General features: G+C 35.7%; 1 non-coding gene and 1 pseudogene across 1 annotated transcript; both read left to right on the plus strand.

The window, feature by feature from the left end:
* HNRNPA3P6 (heterogeneous nuclear ribonucleoprotein A3 pseudogene 6) lies at positions 19,728 to 21,028 on the plus strand (annotated as a pseudogene).
* On the plus strand, positions 19,745 to 19,818 carry MIR4444-2 (microRNA 4444-2). Its single transcript, NR_049831.1, has one exon. It is a non-coding gene; the product is annotated as a microRNA 4444-2 (primary transcript).

The raw sequence follows: 23,363 nt of genomic DNA on the forward strand, positions 1-23,363 counted from the left end.
GATGTGATTATCAGAAGGATAGACACCAAGAAAGAAAAGATAAGTGGCCTTCAAGGTCTAGCAATTGAAAATATCCAAAATAAAACACTGAGAAAAAGGAGTGAACAAAAAAAAAGATGCAGAACTTCAGGAAGCTGTAGGGTAATGTCAGTCTTTCTAATAAATGTGTCATTAGAGACCCCAAAATAGGGAAGTCAGTTGAAAGGAAAGACAAGAAAAAATAATAGTACAAATGAGACAGAGTAGAGAAGGGACTTGGCCCCACCCTTTACTAATATATTTCTTTTCCTTTTCTTTCTTTTTCCATTTCCTGACTGATGACCATTGGACCTTGAAGAAACTAAGATAAGCAGTGTTCCATCATAAGTCTTACTCAGGGAAAGTAACTTTATCATCTGCAGTGCACAAGACCAGAAGAATGACCGATCTTTACCCCTCACCTCATTATAACACTAAAACCTCTGCCAAGGGGGTTCTTATCTGCCATTTTCTGCTCATGTGATGTATGTGTTAGCATGATCCCTTACTACACCTGAGCATCCTGCACTCCACCCCATACATGTAGTGATGCTCACCTACTTCTTGAATTATTAATGTCACCTCCTTAAGACACTGCAATGCACTCCCCTCTGGGAGCCGGCTGGAGAAATTTTGCTCCAGTACTGTCTCCCTTGTGTTCCAGCATAACCCCCTAATAAAGCTTTGTCTGGGAAACTTGCTTGGCTTCATGTCAACTTCTATTATATGAGAGCCTAAGGACCTATGAACACTAACAAAAATATTCTCAGATCTAATGAAAACAAAAATCACAGTTGGAAGAATTTTAACAAACCCAAGTAGAGGAAAGGTAAAGAACAGAACAATAATATGCATAAGAATCTATGAAAGGAAAATAGATCTTGGGGCCCTAAAATCACTAAGCTACAGGGAATAGTCGAGCTGGGAACTGCTTAGGGCAAACCTGCCTCCCATTCTATTCAAAGTCATCCCTCTGCTCACTGAGACAAATGCATATATGATTTGCCTCCTTTGGAAAGGCTAATCAGAAACTCAAAAGAATACAACCATTTGTCTCTTATCTACCCATCGCCTGGAAGCCCCTCCCTATTTCACGTTGTTCTGCCTTGACTTTGAGTTGTACTGCCTTTCCCGACCAAACCAATGTTCATCTTTCGTATAATGATTGATGTCTCATGTCATCCTAAAATGTATAAAGCCAAGTTGTGATCAGACCCCCATGGGCACATGCCATCAGGACTTCCAGAAGCTGTGTCATGGGCACGCATCCTTAACTTTGGCAAAATAAACGTCCTAAACTGAGAACTGTCTCAGATATTTGAGGTTCAAAAATTAAACTGCTAAAAGCAAGTGATTAAAAAAGAAACATTTTTTAAAAGCAGCCGAAGGGAAAAAAGACAAAGACAAAAAGAAAAACAAAAATAAGAATGACAGAAGACTTCTCATCAGAAACTATGCAAGCCAGAAAATAATAAAGAGGCACTTTTAAAAAATGAGGGAAAGAAAGAGACGTTAATCTAGAGTTTTTTAAATAGTTAATGTATATTTTTAAAATGAAAACAATATAAAGACATTTTCAGTTAAACAAAAGCTAAGAAGTTTCATCACTAGCAGATCTGCACTATCAGAGCTGTTAAAGGATTTTTTTCAGGCAGAACGAAAATGATAACATGAAATATTTGATTGTCACAAGGGACGAAAGAGTAAGAGTGTCAAAATTGGTAGTTGTGTCAGTATTAGATGTTTATGGTTTATATAATTTACTCTCACTCTTTAACCAAACTTTCACTGAAAACATACACAATACCTTGAAAACAGAATTCACTGAAGATTCATTCAACTCAATATACACAAACTCAATTTTTACTGTTGTCCAACAGCACTTTTTTGATTATTATATGATTTCTGAGATTACTTCCTATAGCACAGTTTCTAGAAATTAAGAAACCTGTTTTGCCTTTTTCTATTATCTTCACATCCCTTCAGCCATCATGGGGGAATTTGAAAATAAGAAGGGTATCTAAAAGTTTTAGAACTAATAAACAACATGTGGTATATCCAGAAATTTAAAGGAACAAATTACTGACACATGCAACTACATGGATTATTACCCCCAAAAGCATAATGCTAAGTAAAATAAGTCAGAAACAAAAGACTTCATAATGCATAATATATAATCCACTTACATAAAATTTTAGAAACAGGCAAAACTATAGCAAAAGAAAACTACATTCATCTATGCCATGTAGTGTTTGCGTAGCAGATTAATGGAACGAAACAGAGAGTCCAAAATAGATCCACACATACATGGTCAACTGATTTTCAGCAACATTGTTAAGAAAATTCATCAAATAAAAGGTAGTCCATCTACAAATATTGCTAGAAAAATTGGATATACATATAGGACAAAATGAACTTAGACTTTTGTGTCATTTCACATATAAAAATTAGTAAGAAATGAATAGTAGGCCTAAACATAAAAGCTTACTCTTAAATTATGAAAGGTCACACAAAGAGTTTTAGATATGGCACAAAAAGAATGAATCATAGAATAAGCCTATGGATAATTTGAGAGTTCATCGAAATTAAAAACTTTTGCTCTTTGAAAGACATTTCTAACAAAATGAAAGAGCAAGCCAGGGACTGGGAGAAGCTACTTAGAAAAATATCTCTGATAAAAGGTTTGTATACAGAATGTACAAAGAACTCTTACAACTCTATATCAAGAAGAAAAGCAGCATGATAAAAATATTGAGCAAGAGATAAAACAAGATATGTGAATAGGAAATAAACGCATGAAAAAAGGCTCAATGTCCTTGATCTTCAGAAATACGAAGATGAAAACTTGGAAGAGTTGCTACTACATATTCATTTTCATGACTTAGATGTAAAAGATTGACCATACCAAGTGTTGTGAAGGATATGAAGCCCTTGTACCTTCCAGATATTGCTGCTGGGAGTGTAAAATTTTACAACTACTTTGGAAAACAGTTTGGCATTTTCTTAAATTGTTAACTATACACTTGCCATATGACCCAACAACCCAATCATTTGTATTTACCTTAGAGAAGTGGAACCTATATCTACCCAATGACTTACACGCAAATATCTTTAGCAGCTTTATTTATAATAGACAGAAATGGAAAACAACAACAATTAAGCAGGAAACTGTATAAGCACTTTGATGGAACTATCTTATTTCAGTAATAGTACCTACAAAAGAGGTATGGAAGTTTAGGAAGATCCAGTAACTTGCTCAAAGCCATAGATGAAATTGGCAAAGGCAAGATTCCTACTCATCTCTGTTTTCCCTTAACTACTTATTTTACGAAGCCGACACTAACAGGTGAGTGCAAGTTTTCTGCTAAGTGCTTTTGAAACATTGTCTTATTTAATCCCCACTAAAGTCTTCCGGGCATTATTAGCTCAATTTGTAGATTAGGAAACTGAGATTTAGATGTCAGTTAACCTGACTAAAGTTTTACAGATAAAAAGAAGTGAAGGAATCTGATATTCAAGTATTTGAACCCAGATATGTGTGATCCAAAAACCTGTGTCCTTATACATTGATTTCTTCTACTACAGTGTATGCTTCTTATGATAGTCAGTTATATACAGCAACTTCACTGGGCCTCAGAGCACCCAGATATTTGGTAAAACATAATTGTGGGTGTGTCTATGAGGGTGTTTTTGGATGAGGTTAACATTTGAATGGGTAAACTGAGTAAAACAGATCACCCTCCCTAGTGTAGATGAGCCTTATCCTCTGTTGGAGTCGTGAATAGAACAAAAAGCCTGAGTGAGGGAGAATTCTCTTTCTCTGCCTGACTGCCTTAGAGCTGAGACATTGGTCTTCTGCTTCCTGCCTCTGACTCGAACTTGAACTTACATCATCAGCTTTCTTAGTTTTCAGGTCTTAAGAATGGAACTGGAACTATACCCACTGGCTCTCCTGGATCTTAGCCTGCGGAATACAGATCCTGGGACTTCTCAGTCTCCATAATCTCATGAGCCAATCTCATAATAATTTATAAATTATAATAATATTTTTTTGAGACAGAGCCTCCATCTGTTGCCCAGGCTGTAGTGCTGTGGTGCCATCAGGGCTCATTGCATCCTTGACTTCCAGGCTCAAACGATCTTCCCACCTCAGCCTCTTGAATAGCTCGGACTACAGGCATGCGCCGCTGCAGCCGGGTAATTTACTTTTATTTTTATATTTTGTAGAGACAGGATTCTCCCTGTATTGTCTTGGGCTCAAGCAATCCTCCAGCCTCAGCCTCCCGAAGTGCTGGGGTTACAGGTGTGAGCCACCATGCCTGGCCAATAACTTATTTTTTATAATTTTTATAATAATGAATAATAAGGTAAATATAGATAAATTTATATCATAGTAGTAGGATATATTACATAGATGTATGTATTTATATAATAGGATATATTACAGTATATAATACAAAATATATATACAATATATAGTATACAAAATAATATGTTATATATTATATATTACATATACATAATAATATGTAATGTACACTATATATTATATAATACATAACATATTATATATAATATATGTTATATTAGGTTGGTGCAAAAGTAATTACAGTTTTCCCATTACTTTTAATAAATATGTACATAAAAATAGGATTCTGTTACTTCTATATAATACATAGGACATATATACATACATATATATATGTATATATAAAATGGGATTCTGTTTATGTTTATCTGGAAAACCTTGACTAATACCCTTCCTAAGGATGAATTTCTTCATAAGAAAAGAATACCCTTATTGAAGCCCACTTGTGCCAGGTAATGCAGTACAGCTGTGAATGAGCAGCTCCATCCTAAGGAATTATGGAACATCTCATTAGATTTTCAATGCACGGATCATGGTATAAGTGTACTAGGAGACCTCGAAAAAAAGAAACTGATGGATTCTGTTTTTATCAATCATCTAATAAAGTAAAAATGTAAATAATAAAGCAACGAATTGAATAAGCTGAGATAAAGAATTAGGAAAGCAACTATCTTGGAGATGTCACAATAGAATAATCACAAATTGACAGGATTTAGAATCTTTTGGTCCTCTTGAGTCTACTTAAGAATTTATATCCCAAGTGTCATAAAAGTACTCCGATCCTTGAATGGAAACATGCATTTTGCAAGTTAAAGGTTGACACAGATCTTGTTCCACGTCATTTTGCTTGGGTACAGTACTAAAGGAGAATATCTTCCGCCACTTTTTGAACAATTATCTTTTCAAAGGGAAATGCATCCTCTTTGTTCTTTTTTTAGGTCCCAAAATATCTAATAGTAGAAGTGAAAACCCCCTAAGAATTATAAATGTTTATGTTCATTAAATTTTAAGGGAAAGAGGATAATATATGTGATTGAATTATTTGCATTTTCATAGAAACAATTGGCTTTCAACTAGCAATTTTGACATGATCAAAGATAGATTTTTTTTCCATTAGATTTCAGTGTAGTGCTATAAACAAGCTCCATAAGTGCAGGCTTTGAAATTTTTTTCTCTAACGATAAATATGCGTGTGTGTGTGTGTGTCTGTGTGTCTGGGTGTGCTTTAAGAAGTTATTGATGGCAAAGAAATAGAGTTACATGTAACAAAACACCAAGAAAGATTTAGTATGTCTCATAAAATGCTGTATCCAGACCTGTGACAAGCCTAATAATGTCAGAGAAATGAGAGGCAATAAAGTCTTCCTTTAATTTATTATTGGCAAGGCATCTGCTAAGATGAGGTACATAAACCACAGGACACCTGGATGAAAATATGTGTATGACTTTCTGTAGATTGCCGTGGAGAAGGGGATAAAGAAAACATTCCACAAAATGGGAAATTTTATTTCTATATTTAATTGTACTGAGAATTATTGGATGTATCCAAATGGTTTTACACACTATTTAAAGGATTAATCATCTCTTTCTCCCACTACCTTGCCTTTAAGCATACACTTGAACTTTTTTTACTTAATGAGCAACTTAGTCTAATAGGTGCATATTTTAAGACCATTTTCATCTATCCTTGATTGTTGAAAGTATGTATGCATATTTACAAAATAAAGCAAATCTTATATGCATATATATGTTATTATTCTCCTCTGGCACTCAGCTCTCCTTCAAAGTTATTTTTGAAATCCCAGCAGTTTGATGGCTCTTTAATAAATACATTAAGAATGCAGGAAGTTTATTTTATTCAACCTTTGTGCATACCTGAAAGCTAATTGCATGGGAATTCTTGTGGAACTCTTAAAATGCAGGGATTTGGGGTAGTAGCATAGGATGCAACCTTACAAAATTGTTTAAAAATATAATTGGCTGTATTTAAGCCAGTGATATTTAGGCTATAATTAAGAGTATTTCCCTCAAAACACAACACTGCTTTATTCCCTACTAAAGTCTCCTTAAATGTATCAAAACTCTCACTGTTTCTACATTTTAAAAATGAAAATTTAAGCCATATTACTAAAGCTCAGTGCAAACCCCCACAGATGGCAACTTCAAAACCAGTTTGGCAAGTGGTTCCTGGACCCATTTTCTGTGATGATATTCATTGATATTGATTGAGGACTTAATATAAGTAAATCACAGAGAAGTAGGTACTAGAATATTTCAGTGTGCTTAGAACTTAGATGATTTTGCTTCAGTTTTATGCAGAGGTTCTAGAGTATTTTTTTACCCTTAAATGAAAGGCCTGAGAAAGAACAGAGTCAAGTAAAATACATATAAATAGTTTCCATTTACCTGTGTTGAATTCTACAAGTTGATTTAAATTTTGATTCCTTGTATATTACAGCACTGTGCCTATCTATTCTGCATAGTTGTATACGTATTGAAACAAGTTCCCCAAATATAAAATCTTTAAAATGGCTATCTCTCAGAAGCAACAACATAGCACCATAACTAATTGATGGCTCCTTGCCTTACCAATATAGTTATCTCATAGTTATCTCCCCTTTTACAGAGGAGCCTTAAAAGATAAAATTATTTGTCCTGCGTTAAATAAACTGTAAGTTACAAAAACACACTTCAAAAGTAGTTATTCAATTTAAAATGCCATGTATTTATTCTTATTCTTTTGTTAGTAAAAAACTATGAATAATGTGCATTTTAACGAAATATTTTAAGCATACAGAAATCAGCTCTTTCCAGAGAATCTGTTTCAGTCTTGTGACAGTAATTTGTTCAATGGATTCTATGTCTCACTGTGCTTTGGTATCATCCAGAAGAACTTAAACAATAGATATATTTCTGGGAATGAATGCCATTCATTAGAATCTGAAGCAACAAGTATGAGGTGGAGCCTAACATTCTGTCTATTGTATTTCCTTTTCACAGTCAAGTATTTCTGTTGCACAGCCAGGTGTGGGAATTACTGGAGACAGAGCTGCCTGATGTAACATAGAGCACTGCCATTTTTCCCCCAGGTTCTACAACAGTATTTTCCTTCATCTAAGAGGAGGAATATTCTGTGCAAGGTTGTGGTTTAAGAAAGTGTCCTGGACCTTCTTTAGCTGGTGGAATCTTCCTTAAGACTGACTTATTTTTTTCTTTTAACTAATATGATTCTAGTCATATGCATTAGACACATTAGACACATACCCAATTATTTTTGCAATGTGTATGTTCTTACTATCTTAAGTTGGCAACTACAAGTATTTCATATTGTATTGAGCTATTCTAAGCAGAGGAATATATACGATCTAAGGTAACCAATTCTAGACTTCTAGACACATTATGAGCTGATGAGTCCAAACATCACACACAAATACTGGCTGTAATGTTATTCTATGCAAAAGACACATAATAACATGTTTTTACACTAGTCTGCTTTATTATGCTAATTGGAACTTTCTCATTAAGTGCAACAACTTGTAACAAAGTAAAATACTACATAGATAAATAATAGTTCTTCAAAATCATACTAGTAGTTTTGAAGTGTTAATCATTTTCCCTGACTTCTCCAGTTTCAAAATGTTCAAACCTGCAGAAATGTTGAAATAGTATAACACTGGCTGTTGTTTCTTTAGATTCATAATTGTTGACCTACTACCCTCTGTTTGCATGTTTGTCTATCTCGCCAAATACACTTTTTATTTCATTCTATTAAACCGTAAGAAAGTACTTGGAAAGTATTTAAACTTTTATTTCTAAATATTTTGATGTGCATCTCCTTGGGAAAAGACATTCTCCTCTACAAACACAATGCTATTATCATACCTAAGAAAATTAACATTAATAAAATATCATCTAACGTAAGTGTTATTTAAATATTACCCAATTATCCCCAATGGCTTAAATTTTTTATTGTAAATTGGCAAATTATAGTTGTATATATTTATGGATTACAAAGTGATGTTATAATTTGTTAATACAATGTGGAATAATTAAAATCAAGCTAATTAATCTATCCATCACTTTAAACACCTATCCATTTTTTGTGATAAGAACATATGAAATTTACTCTCTTAGCAATTTAAAAATGTGTAGCACACTATTATTCATTAATCCACCACACTATGCACGTGATCTCAAAAACAAAACAAAACAAAACAAAACAAAAAAAACAACCTCATTTCCTCGTGTAACCAAGGCTTTGTACCCTTCAACCACCACCTTCTCATTCCTCCCAACCCCCAGCCTCTGGTAGCCATCTTTCTACTCTTGTTTTTTTCTGAGTTCGATTGTTTTAGATTCCGCCTATAAGTAAGAACATGTGATATTTGTCTTTCTGTGTCTGGTTTATTTTACTTAGCATACTATTCTCCAATCCCATCCATGTTGCCACAAATGACAGAATTTCTTTCCTTTTTAAGATGGAATGGTAGTCATTGTGGATATATACCAATTTTCTTTATCCATTCCTCTGTTGATAGACAGAGGTGGATACCATAGCTTGGCTGTTGTGAATAGGGCTGTGATGAACACTGAAGTGCAGATGTCTGTACAGATTTCAGATCTTTTGGGTAAACACCAAGGCATGGATTTGCTGAATTATATGGTAATTCCATTTTTTTTTTGTTTTTTTGAAGAATCTCCCAACAGTTTTACATAATGGCTGTATAAGTTACACTCTTACCAACAGTGTACAAAAGTTCTCACTTCTCTACGTTTTCATCAACACTTGCTGTATTTTATCTTTTTCATAACAGCCTGACAGTTGTGAGGTGACATCTCAATTTGGTTTTACTTTGCATTTCTCTAATGATTAGTGATGATGAGCATTTTTTTCATATATCTGTTGGCTATTTGTATGTCTTTCTGGGGTCAATGTCTATTCTGGTTCCTTGCCCATTTTTCATCAGATTTTTTGTTTTCTTTCTATAGAATTGTTTGAGTTTCTTATATATTTTGGATTTTAAACCTTTATCAGATGTATAGCTTGCAAATATCTTTTCCCACTTTGCAGATTGTCTCTTGACTCTGGTTGATTGTTTCCTTTGTTTTGCAGAAGATTTTTATTTTGGTGCAATCCAGTTTATCTATTCCTACTTTTCTGACCTGTACTTTTGGGGTCAAATCTAGAAAATCACCCCCCAAACCAATGTTATATCATTTTTCCCCCTGTGTTTTCTTCTAGTAGTTTTGTAGTTTCAGGCCTGATGTTTAAATATTTAAACTATTTTGAGTTAATTTTTGTATATAGTGTGAGATAAGAGTACATATTCAGGATATTAGTCTTTTGTCAAATATGTCATTTCTAAATGTTTACTCCCAGTCAGCAGCTTTATATTTTCATACTTTAATAGGGTCTTTTACAGAGAAAAAGTATTTTAATTTTGATGAGAACAGATTTGCCAATTTTTCCGTTTATGAATCATACCATTGGTGTCAACCCTAAAAATTCCTTTTCTCATCCTATATTCCAAAGATTTTCTCCTATTTTTCTAGATATTTTATAGTTTTACATTTTACTTGTAAGTCTATGATCCATTTTAATATCAAGTTAATTTTTGTATAGGATGTGATGTTTAGGTTGAGGATCACTTTTTTATGCTTATGGATGTCCAGTTGCTTCTGCACCATTTGTTGAAAACACTTTTCTTCCTCTATAGAGTTGCTTCTATTTGTTTGTAAAAAAAATCACTTTTCCATATTTGAGTGGGCCTATTTCTGGGTTTCCTATTTGATTCTATTGATCTGTGTGTCTCTGCCTTTGTGAAGAAAACACTGCTTTGATTCTGCAGCCATAAGACTTAATACTTGTAGCTGGGCATGGTGGCTCACGCCTGTAGTCCCAGCACTTTGGGAGGCCGAGGCAGGTGGATCATTTGAGGTCAGGAGTTTGAGACCAGACTGGCCAACATGGTGAAACCCCATCTCTACTAAAAATACAAAAATTAGCCAGGTGTGGTGGTGCACACCCATAATCCCAGCTACTCAGGAGGCTGAGTTGGGAGAATCACTTGAGCCCGGGAGGCGGAGGTTGCAGTGAGCTGAGATCATGACACTGAACTCCAGCCTGGGCGACAGAGTGAGACCCAGTGTCAAAAAAAATAATAATTAAAAAAAAGACTTAATACTTTTAGTATCATTCTTCCCACACTATTCTGCTTTGTCAAGATTATTTTAGCTATTCTTGAGCCAGGCCTTTACATATGAATTTTATAATAAGTTTTCTATGTCTACAAAAACCTTATTGGGGTTTTGATAGGAACTGCATTAAACTGATAGATAGATTAATTTAGGAAGAATTGATATCATTCTTATGCTGAGTCTCCCAACCCATAAAATAAGGTACAGTTCTACATTTATTTAAATATTTTTAAAATTTCATATTTTACTTTTTAGTGTACAAATTGTATATACATACCTATGTATTTTTTTTCTTTTTTTTTTTTCTTTGTGATGGAGTCTTGCCCTGTTGCCCAGGCTGTAGTGCAGTGGCGCGATCTCTGCTCACTGCAATCTCCACCTCCTGGGCTCAAGTGATTCTCCTGCCTCACCCTCCCAAGTAGTTAGATTACAGACGTGAACAACTACACCAGGCTAATTTTTGTATTTTTAGTAGAGAGGGGGTTCGCCAGGCTGGTCTCAAACTCCTGACCTCAAGTGATCGCTGTGGCCTCCCAAAGTGCTTGTAATCCCAAAGTGAGATTACAAGCATGAGCCACCACACCTGGATATATATATATATATATTCATTCTTAAGTGTATACCTACATGAATATTTCTTTTCCTTTTTTAAAAATAAAAGCAATTAGCACCTTGAATCTTTATTTGAGTAATTGTAAGTGGTATTATATTTTTAGTTTTTGTTCTGCATGTTCATTCTTAGTACACAGAAATGAGATTGAATTTTATGTATTGAACTTCTATGCTGCCATCTTGCCAAATTCACTTATTACTTCTAGAGAATTTTTGTAGATTACTTGGAATTTACTACATAGACACGTTATCTGCAAGTAGAGATAGTATTCTTTTTTTCTTTACAACCTATATGCCTTTTACTTATTTATCTTGCCTTATCGAGATGTCTAGATATTCCAGCACTGTGTTAAATAAGAGTAATGAGAGCAGACATTTTTACCTTGTGTATAATCTTAGAGAAGAAGCATTCCATCTTTTGCCATTAAATACGTTAGCTATAGTTATACATGCTGCTATTGAATAAAGGTTTATGTCCCCCCAAAATTCCATTTTGAAACACTAACCCCCAATATAATTGTATTAGGAGATGGGGACTTTGGTAGATGATTAGGCCATAAATGCAGAGTTCTTATAAATGAGATTAGAGTCCTAATAAAAGAGGCCTGGGAGTGCTCCCTTACCTCTTTCTGCCATGTGAGCACACAGGGAGAGGACAGCTATCTATGAACTGGGAAGCAGGCCCTCTCCAAACACTGATGCCTTGATCTTGGACTTCCCAACTTCCAGAACTATCAGGAGTATATGTCTGTTGTTTACAAGCCACTAAGTCTGTTACAGAATCCTGTTCAAAATAAGCAAAATGCTTTATGTCAACTGGATACAATTATTTAGTCCTATTTTTCTAACTGTTTTTATCATGAATGGGCATCAAACTTTGTCAAATGATTTTTCTATATTAACTGATATGATTTTATGATTTTTCTTCTTAAGAAAAATGGATGGATTCTGTTGACTAATTTTTATACGTTGAACTGGCCTACTGGTGTTGACATTTGGTTTTTCCAGTGAAGTGCAGAAGTCTCACTTCTATTTAGATCTCTTTAACTTCCCCTACTTCTTAATTTTAATTGGCTTAAGTATTCCTCAACATACCTTGCACACTACATCAAAACATGTTATAATTTTTATTTCAATCATACAAAATGGTTTTAAAAACTCATGAGGTGAGGAATAGTTTATTATGTTTACCTTTTTGTCTAACCTGTTAGAAATAGGGAAAAATGTTTACCTTTATTTTAATTCGTTCTTCTTTCTTTTCTGAAAGTTCCAGTCTTCAATTTTTTTTTAAATTTTCTGTTAAGATAGCTTCCTTTAGTCATTCTTTAAGAGTAGGTATGACAGCAACAATTTCTGAGTTCATCTGAGAATGTCTTTATTGCCCCTTAGTTTTTAAAGATTAGTTTCACTGAACATAAAATTTGCAGTCGACAGTCTTGTTGTTTTTTCTTTCAGCTTGAAAAATGCTTTGCCTCTTCTTTCTGGCCTCTGTGATTTCAGATGAGAAATGCACTATCCTTTGAATTGCTTCTTTCTGATATTGAAGAATTGCTTCTTTCTAAATAATGCATTGCTTCTTTCTGACTGTTATTAAAGTTTTTTATTTGTCTTTAGTTTTTATAAGTTTAATTATAAGGTCTTTTAGTGTGAATGTTTTAGGTTTTCCTTATTTGGAGTTGGCTCAGGCTCTTGGATCTATAAGTTTATATATATATATATATATTTTTTTTTTTTTTTTTTTTTTTTTTTTGCCAAATTTAGGAAGGTTACAGTCATCGTTCTTTGAATATTTTCCCAGGTCTACACTCTTTTTCCTCTCCTTGAACTCATATGAAATATTAGATATTTTGTTATTGTCCCACAAGTTCCCCAGGCTCTCTTCATTTTTTAAAGTCTGATTTCTTTTCCGTTGTTCAATTGAGCACATTCTATTGATCTGTCTTCAAGTTCTCTGAATCTATCCTTTTTAATTTACTCCCCTATTGACTCTATACATTGAAGATTTTATTTTAGTAACTGCATTTTTCAGTTACCTAATTAGCATTTGGTTATTTTTATAACATCTCTTTTTTGCTGGGATTTTTCAATTTTTAATTTGTTTCAAGATAACCCATAAGTGTTTAATCATTTTCATCATGGCTGTTCAAAAATGCTTCTTAGGTAATTCTGTTATCTGATTAATCTTGGTTTTGACATCAGTTGATTTTCTATCTCAATTAGTTTATGGTTCCTGGGTCTTGATATGACAAGTGTTTTTTATTTTTTATTGTATCTAGATATTTGGTTTTTATGTTAGGAGACCCTTAATCCTATTGAATCTCCTATTTATTAGGCAGTCACCCTGTTTATGTTTACCATGTTGGCTCTGGCCTATTTTTGTAGGTAATGGTTCCAGTTACACTTTAGTTTTTAGGGCACAAGCAAATGCAATTTTGGTTTGCTTTGTTCTTCTGGCATTGCTGGGCATCCCAGTCAAATCACTGCTGGTGCTGCCTGAGAGGGTGAGAATTGCTTCCCTGAGCCACCTGGTATCTCTATGCACCTTCTGCAGTAGGAAGGCACTTAGAAGCCACTGAACCTAGATCTTCTTACGCCACTGTGTCGAGGGCAGGTAGACACCAGGCTTCAGGTGATGCTGCTGGGATTACCCTGCCTAGCTTCGCTGTTGCTGCTGAGAAAAGATTAAGTCTGCACAACCAGACGTACCCTACAAATATGTACAATTACTATGAGGTAATTGTGTATTCATACTATGGGACACTCCCCTTGGATGCATCCTCCAAACTGGGAAAATTTAATTTCGCAGACCTTAAATTGTTTGGTTTAGGACTGGGCTCATGGGAAGGGAACCCAGAAGCCTGACATGCTAGCAGAAGGGTAAACATTTCTTTACCAATCAGGTTTGTGGCCTCCCTCTCCCTGTGCAAAAGGTTAAAAGGCCTTGGAATTTTTAAGCTGTCCTTACCCACCTGCTTGTTGCATTTTGATACATGTTTTCTAATAACCAGGTTTGTCTCTTCTCACCTTCAGGCCATCAAACTCCAAATGGTCATGCAACCAGAGTCTCAGATGGACGATAGTCCCTTTTGCTGGGAACCCTTAGAAAGGCCTCTGAGGAAGCTCTGATTTCCATTTTCCCAAAACAGAGCCCCCATCAGCAGGAAGCAGTTGAGAATAGTCATTGTCCTTATGTTATCCTTATTGTAATGGCAGTTAGATGCACTTCTTTAGAGGAGGGAATGATAGATGCAGGAGGAAGATAAGGAAACCTGCCCAGGGCCTTGTTTGGGCATGCCCATAATGGACTGGGGGCCCACCTACGTGCTGGGAGAGTGGGATGGAGCCACCGGGAATCCTTGTGCAGCGGGAAGAGGCCTGGCTTCTTCAGCTCCTGTGTGTGGTGGCCTGTTATTCAATAATCTGTGAGGTATGAGCCTGTTGGCTGGACTCCTTTATGTTTTGCTGAGAGCTTTCTTTTAATAAATTCTGCTCTCCTCACCTTTCAATGTGTCTGCATGCCTAATTTTTCCTGGTCATGTGACAAGAACCTGGATTTTAGCTGAACTAAGGAGCAAAAAGTCCTGCATCATAAGCATCCAATTGCAAGTATACCCATTTGTGGAGTAAATTTTTAGCAGTGAGATTGTTGTATTAAATGATTGTATTTGCTTTTTAAATGACCAAAAGACATCCAATATGTTCACATTAAAAAAAAATTATTTCTGGCAGTGGAAATATTAACCAAATAGCTATCAAAGATAGCTCTTTAAGAATTACTTAGGATTGCTGAGTACGTGGCTTAGAATCACTATTGACCTTATTTCTTAGAAAATAAGCTATTGAGAATGACAGGAAATTAATAAGTTTATTAATGAAGTTCTATTTATGCTCCTGCTGTAAAAGTGTGGCTATTTATTGGCTTAAAAATGAATTTGTATTTTGATTATAGGTTTCAATGTACAAAAACGTTTAAACTTGGTTATTTTGATATACACTATTAATGAGTCCAATCCTACTAGGAAAAGCACCTAAGATGGTGGCTGGCTAAGTGTAGATACTCAATACATTGAAGTTATTGAGTTGATTTATTCATAGCTCTAGAATTCTGAAGACCATAACAAGCCAAATTTGGAGACCAAAAGGAGTTTGTTTACTTTGGCAAGCTTGGCTTGTTTCTCCCCAAGGAGCTTCCTGGTTTATAATCTTGTAGCTAAAAACTGGATTTACCATCAGAACATCGTAGTGTAGTTACTAAGGGAAAGTACACTACAGATTCACGGTAACCAAACATGAGAGAATGAGGCATAGAATAAGACTGCAGATGTAGCAGTTTACAGTGAAGGTTGTAACTGTTGAAGATTGCTTAGTGGTGTCTCAGATATTTTCTACTCGTTCTCAGGTGATATTTCTTGCACCAAATTGAGATCTAAAACTCACACTGTGGGCATGGAATTGAAAACCTTAATACTGTAAGATTTCAATCATATCATCTACTGAGTATCAGCTACTGAGACTGAAGTTATTAATTCCTGAATGCATAGTTGCAATTTCCCCTTCTGGATAGTATTTAAGGATAGGGACAGCCAATCTGTGCTTTTTAAATTGCTTCTTACTGCATTTCTGCCAGCTCTACCTTCTGTTAGACGTACTCTTTTCTTAGATATGTTAATACATTCCATCGGGTTATAATCAAGTCCTGCTGACATTATATGGATTTCCACATTCTCCTTTGATCTTCAATGGGTTGATTTTACTGTTTAATGTTTAACTCTAAAAGTCAGTTTAATTCCCGCATTTCCAACTTCCTAGGAACACCTGATTTTACCCCAAAAGTAATGAAATCAGTAATAACATTAAGGATGTCATAGTACTTAATAAATGTGATGTCCTTTATATTTTTACTTATACAATTAGATGAAAACAAGCTCTAATTTAATGAGCTTGTTACTTGCTATGAGCATTAGAAAGTGCACATAAAGAGTACATAACCTATTGAAAATTGGATTGTCACATCAGACCATTGGCGTTCTCTAATTAAATATACACATACACACACAACTATACATGCATGCAGCTATATTTATTTGTATATAATGGATCTTTATGTATATGAAAAACCTTGGCCTGGTATAGTGGCTCACACCTATAATCCCAGCATTTGGGGAGGCCGAGGCAGGGAGATTGCTTTAGCCCAGGAGTTTGGGACCAGCCTGGGCAATGTAATGAGACCTCGTCTCTACGAAAAATCCAGAAAAAAATAAGCTTGGCATGGTAGCACACACCTGTAGTCCCAGTTACTCAGGAGGCTGAGGTGGGAGGATCACTTGAGACCAGGAGGTTGAGGCTGCAGTGACTGTGATTACACCACTGCATGATCTGCCATCCTGGGTGACAGAGCAAGACCCTGTCAAAAAAAGAAAAATTAAAACAATTTAAAACCTTAAGTTTATATTGATACTTTTCATTACAATTCAACATAATGTTTTTTTTCTAACCTTTCCATGTATGTCACTCCCATCTCCAACAGTAAAACACCAACTTTTCACTATCAACAATTCATTTTATTTAACTAGAATCACATAAAGTAGCTTCATAATTGTTAATTCATGTTAGAGTGAGAAAACAGCTACAAATTAGAGTTCAATACATTCTTAATTTTTTTAGTCTTTAATATAAGCATATATAATCAAAGCACTGTGCTCAAAATTTACTCAAGTTAGCTCCCTCCCTCACCCCTTTAAGTGTGGTTATGTTATTTATTTGCAATACAAATGGTTAAAATCTGGAAAAATGTGAACATTAAAATAAATAGTGAAAGTAGTGAAATATACAAAATATAGAATGAAATATAACAAGTATTCATAAGTTCATAATGATATAAATGATGGATGAATGAGATAGAATTCTTCCTTACTGTAGAGTGTAAACAAATGAGATAGAAGTAATAATGGAATTAGAATATCACCAGAGCAATAATTATTTTAGGCAGAAGCATGAACTATCATTAAAAATAATGAGTAAAAATTTGAAAATAAACAGAGCATTTCCCCAAAAGATGCATATTAAACTCAAAATGGAAAAAAAGTAGATTTCTAGTGCAGAAACTTGGCAGATACCATCTTACTTGAGTGATCAAAGTCAAAATCACCATTAATGATGCTGTGTCTCCTGATATGATGTACTGAGAAGGCAACAGCACCTCTGAGGTTGATACAGTTTGGCTCCGTGTTCCCACAAAAATCTCACGTGGAATTGTAATAATGCCCATGTGTCAAGAGTGAGACCAGGTGTATGTAATTCAGTCACGGGGGCAGTTTTCCCCATGCTATTCTCATGATAATGAGTGAGTTCTCATGAGATCTGATGGTTTTGTAAGCATCTGGCATTTCTCCTGCTGGCACTCTTTCTCTCTCCTGCCACTCTGTGAAGAGGTGCCTTCCACCATGATTGTAAATTTGCTGAGGCCTCCTCTGCCATGCAAAACTGTGATTCAATTAAACCTCCTTTTTAAAAAATAAATTACCCAGTCTCTGGTATTTCTTCATAGCTGCATGAGAATGAACTAATATAGAGGTATTGCTACCAAAAATGTAAATCAAATCATAAAGAATGTCTGAAAAACCCAAATTGAGGGACAGTCTACCAAAAGAATGTCTTACACTATTCAAAAATATCAAGGTAATGAAATATAAAGAAAGCTCAATAAACTATTACAGATTATAGAAAACTGAATAAGCATTTTAGCTGAATGCTAAATCCTGATTTTTACTTTTCAATGTGATGACTCCCTCAGCAATGAATTTGAGGTGACAAGCACTATTTTAATTTCATTTTGTTCTCAGTTTTTATGTCTTTTTGTGGATGGAGGAAATTTCTAATATTTCAAAACTGAAGTCATTATTATTTAACAGATTTTGTTAACTTTTAAAAATATATTTCTGACTCTTGCACTTCTTTGTACCATCCAAAACAAGACACGATTTACTTAGGACTAATGTTCTTTTGTTAGGGTGGTTCTAGGGCTTAATAACACTAAAACCTTTATGACTTTAAAATGAAAAATTGATTCAATTTCTTCTCAGCTAAAAGCTTTCTTCCTTCTAGACACCACTTTTGCTTCTGAAAACTACTATTAATGTCTCAATGTGCTTTTGAGAGACACTAAACATAAATACATAGTTGATTGCTGAAGCAACTCCAAGGTGTTGATCATAAGCTGGAGATTTTTTTAGTGTAGTATCCTCTTTGTCAGAATTTTTATTTTCTTGAAATTTAGTGCAATAGCATAAAACTATTTTTATAGCTGATACATAATGTATGATTGGCCATAAATCTGAACTCTGTCTGGCATTGGACAGATACAAGTACCACAATATAATAAATTTATTACAATGACTGACTTTAATAGCCCCTCATAGTCTAAGTTCAAAGCATTAGAGCTTTTGGAATGTTCCACACTTTCCAAGTTCCAGCTCTTCCGTCACCTGCACCTGTTTAAATGGAGATAAATGAATTGAAAAGTCAGTTAATGTATAAATGTTCCGTTTGCCCACTTCCACATGGACCACTGGCAGTCAAAAGCCCGCTGACACTGCCACATCATAAAACTCCTAAAGTCTTCTCTTACTGATAAAACAAGCTAAGATTATTTAGCTCTCAGGGGATACTGAGTTAAAAGAAAATTGAGCTAAATGTCCTTTGCAGCTCTTAATGTAGTCAACATTAGATGAATTTTCCTCTGCAGTAGTCAGCCTTTACTTTATCCTGATGTGTGTTGTGGGCTGGAGCTTCTAGCTGATGGCAAGCTTAGGAAGAAAGCCTCAGCTGACAGAGCACTGCAACCTCTCCCAAGGCCACTAACTCAGAGTTAATCCAAGGCAAACCCAGAACCTTTACTGGAACACTGTTGAGGAAGGAGATGTCTCTCCTTGACATGAAGATTTGATGAAGCCTGGAGCACCTGGAGGCTGCCAGGAAAAGAGATCCTAGTCCTACTGTAGAGAAGAACTGAGTCATACACTGTGGGGAGGGACCTGGTCTTGAGGACATCATTAAATATCCTAGATCCAGCTATCCCTGAAGATTTTCTATTCCTAGAGTTTTCATTTATGTGAGAAAATAGATCCCTGCCCCCTTCTCATTTCTACTGAAGCCAATTTGAGGTGGGTTTTAAGTGTCTTGCATCAAAAGTGTCATGAAGAAGAGACTTCCTCATTCTATTGAAATAAAGATTGTTAAACTTGAGAGGGCTGTGATAAGGCTGTTGAAAAGCACGTCAGGAACATTTGGGAATCAAGGGAAGAATCTGACTCAAAATATCAGGGAAGTGACTGGTTACATATTTTGACAAGACTCCTCAGATATTTTGGATGATATCTTACACTTCTAGTATAAAAGGCCTGTGTTTAAGCCCTTGATGCAGCATTTAATGTGTACAACCTTGCCAAGTCATTTATTTTCTTAGGGCCTTGGTTCTAAAATGAAAATCATTACCCCTCTTATCTACTTTAGACTGATATAAGAAACAAATCGGGGAAAACGCGTCACGTGACGACTGGCCCCGCCTCTTCCTCTCGGTCCCATATTGAACTCGAGTTGGAAGAGGCGAGTCCGGTCTCAAAATGGAGGTAAAACCGCCGCCCAGTCGCCCCCAGCCCGACTCCGGCCGTCGCCGTCGCCGCCGGGGGGAGGAGGGCCATGATCCAAAGGAACCAGAGCAGTTGAGAAAACTGTTTATTGGTGGTCTGAGCTTTGAAACTACAGATGATAGTTTACGAGAACATTTTGAGAAATGGGGCACACTCACAGATTGTGTGGTAATGAGAGACCCCCAAACAAAACGTTCCAGGGGCTTTGGTTTTGTGACTTATTCTTGTGTTGAAGAGGTGGATGCAGCAATGTGTGCTCGACCACACAAGGTTGATGGGCGTGTAGTGGAACCAAAGAGAGCTGTTTCTAGAGAGGATTCTGTAAAGCCTGGTGCCCATCTAACAGTGAAGAAAATTTTTGTTGGTGGTATTAAAGAAGATACAGAAGAATATAATTTGAGAGACTACTTTGAAAAGTATGGCAAGATTGAAACCATAGAAGTTATGGAAGACAGGCAGAGTGGAAAAAAGAGAGGATTTGCTTTTGTAACTTTTGATGATCATGATACAGTTGATAAAATTGTTGTTCAGAAATACCACACTATTAATGGGCATAATTGTGAAGTGAAAAAGACCCTTTCTAAACAAGAGATGCAGTCTGCTGGATCACGGAGAGGTCGTGGAGGTGGATCTGGCAATTTTATGGGTCGCGGAGGGAACTTTGGAGGTGGTGGAGGTGGTGGCAGCAGAGGTAGTTATGGAGGAGGTGATGGTGGATATAATGGATTTGGAGGTGATGGTGGCAACTATGGCGGTGGTCCTGGTTATAGTAGTAGAGGGGGCTATGGTGATGGTGGACCAGGATATGGAAACCAAGGTGGTGGATATGGTGGAGGTGGAGGATATGATGGTTACAATGAAGGAGGAAATTTTGGCGGTGGTAACTATGGTGGTGGTGGGAACTATAATGATTTTGGAAATTATAGTGGACAACAGCAATCAAATTATGGACCCATGAAAGGGGGCAGTTTTGGTGGAAGAAGCTCGGGCGGTCCCTATGGTGGTGGTTATGGATCTGGTGGTGGAAGTGGTGGATATGGTAGCAGAAGGTTCTAAAAACAGCAGAAAAGGGTTGAATGAGAACCCTACTTGCCTAAATGAGGAATGTCTTTCCTACCATCTAAAATACGAAGGTTTTTGGCTGGGTAAGGTTTGTAGTTGACAGTAAAACCTGATGACCCCAAAAAAAAAAAAAAAAAAAAAAAGAAACAAATCGGCATGGATATGTAAAAGATTTTGAAACTATAGAATGCCTAAAAACAGAAAATATTAATAAGAAAGTAAAATTTTCCACTTACATCAAGTAGTTTCTTTCCACGTTTGCATCTATCTTTTTTCCTTTGGGTAATATGTTCAGGTTTACCATGTTTTTAGAATTATTTTACTTCAAATTGGAAAAATCTGATGCATAAATCTAACAATGAGCAGCAGCTTACCATAAAGTACACAAAAATTTTCCTTTGAATACTTTATTTGAGAAGGTCTTTCTCACGTCTGCACATTTGGGGAACATATACTTAAAGATTAATAGGAAGAGTTTCTCTTCTTGGGAATATAAGATTCTCATGAGAAAAAATTAAATTTGATTTTAAAAAATTTCAGAAACGTACAACTCAGCTGTTTATTCTCATTGGTCTCTATGAACCTAAAAAGAAAATAAAAAGGTGGAGATATAATCTAAATCAAATACTATATGTGAACATGTCCAGATAATAGGAGCTTAACCACAAAAGGAATATAAATCATTCTAATATAAAGACACATGCACATGTATGTTCAATACAGCACTATTCACAATAGTAAAGACATGAAATCAACCTAAATGGTCATCAATGAGAGACTGGATAAAGAAAATATGGTACATATACACCACGGATTACTACGCAGCCATAAAAAGGAATGAGATCATGTTCTTTGCAGTTTCATGGGTGGAGCTGGAGGCCATTATCCTTAGCAAACTAATGCAGGAACAGAAAACCAAATAGTGCATGTTCTCACTTATAAGTGGGAGATCAGTGACGAGAACACACGGACACATAGAGGCTAACAACACACACTGGGGCCTATTGGAGGGTGGAGGGTGAGAGGAGGGAGAGGATCAGGAAAAATAACTAATGGGTCCTAGGTTTAATACCTGGATGATGAAATAATCTGTACAACAAACCCCCATGGCATAAGTTTACCTGTGTAACAACCCTGAACTTGTACCCCTGAAGTTAAAATGAAAGTTACAAAAAAAAAATCAGTGCAAATCTTGACTCTGGACTTTAATGTTCTAAGTCATACTCTGGCTCTGCTTACTCCTCTGTTTCATCTCCTGCACTACACCCCTCCCTTTTTAAACTATAGTCGCATTGGCTGCCTCTGTGTCTTCACCTCAAAGCTTTTGCACAAGAGCTTTTCTTTTCCTGGAACACACTTCTTCCAGAGCTCCCTAGGGCTAATCCCATCTTATACAAGTCTCAATGATTTTAACATGTCCTCCACAGATAGCCTTCCCTCTAATCACTTAATTTAAATGAAACCCCCAATTATTATCTCTGGCCTGTACTTATTGTTACCTATTTTATAATATGTCACCCCCATATGATATTTTGTTTCATCATTTACTTGTTTGCTTGTCTCTTCCACTGTAATATAATCTCATAGTAGCAGAGAATCTCTCTCTCTTTTGTACATGATTTTACTACCAGCAACTAGAAGAGTATCTAGTGCTAAGGAGGCCCTTAATAAATGTTTTTTGAAGAAATAAATGATGAATCAATAAGTCCTTATGGCAAAATTCTGTCCCATCGCAGTTGAGTTTATAAGATCAGGAAAATTCTGCCTTTCCAGTTGAACTACTAGTCAAAATTTCCAAAGTATGAATTTTTTAAGAAAAAGTCAATTTCAGATCTTTTCATTCTCTGTTTCTCTTGTTTTTATTTTGCAAAATATTTTAAAACATTATTCCAAATATGTTCTCAATTTGGGTGGGTACTGAAAAGTTGCAAATCTGTCTTGAATTTGGTGCCAATTTAATCTCTATCATTCTTCCACTTGGATTCTGAGCCTTTGTAGTGAGATCAGATGTTTATCTAAAGAACTTTTTATTTTGGGGCTTGAAAAGATGACATAGACTCCGTAACTTTTATGAAGTATCCCTGAAGCCAGATAATATGACTGTTATGGTGCCAGGGCATGAGGGCAGAAGCGATTTTTTAGCTTATTTGAACTCTCCAAGGAGTTTCTCTGCTGCTCACCTCTTTCCTTCTTCATTCAACAAGCTAAGTACCATGATTGCTCTTATCTTCGGCGCAGCCCTCAGAGAGTAGCATTTCACCACATCACTTCTGTCCTGGTCGTCTTCATCCTTTGACATAAACAATATAGAGGTTTAATGTAACATCCATTTTTTCACTCTCATCGTCAAGGACATTGGTAGAAGCAGGAAAACTCAGTGGCTCAGAACAGGGGCCATGACTTTTGTAGTCACTCTCTCACTTAGGAGTTGTGTCATTTGGATTTCATCCCATTTT

The sequence above is a fragment of the Homo sapiens genome, chromosome 3 (assembly GCF_000001405.40).
Source record: "Homo sapiens chromosome 3, GRCh38.p14 Primary Assembly".
Taxonomy (NCBI): domain Eukaryota; kingdom Metazoa; phylum Chordata; class Mammalia; order Primates; family Hominidae; genus Homo; species Homo sapiens.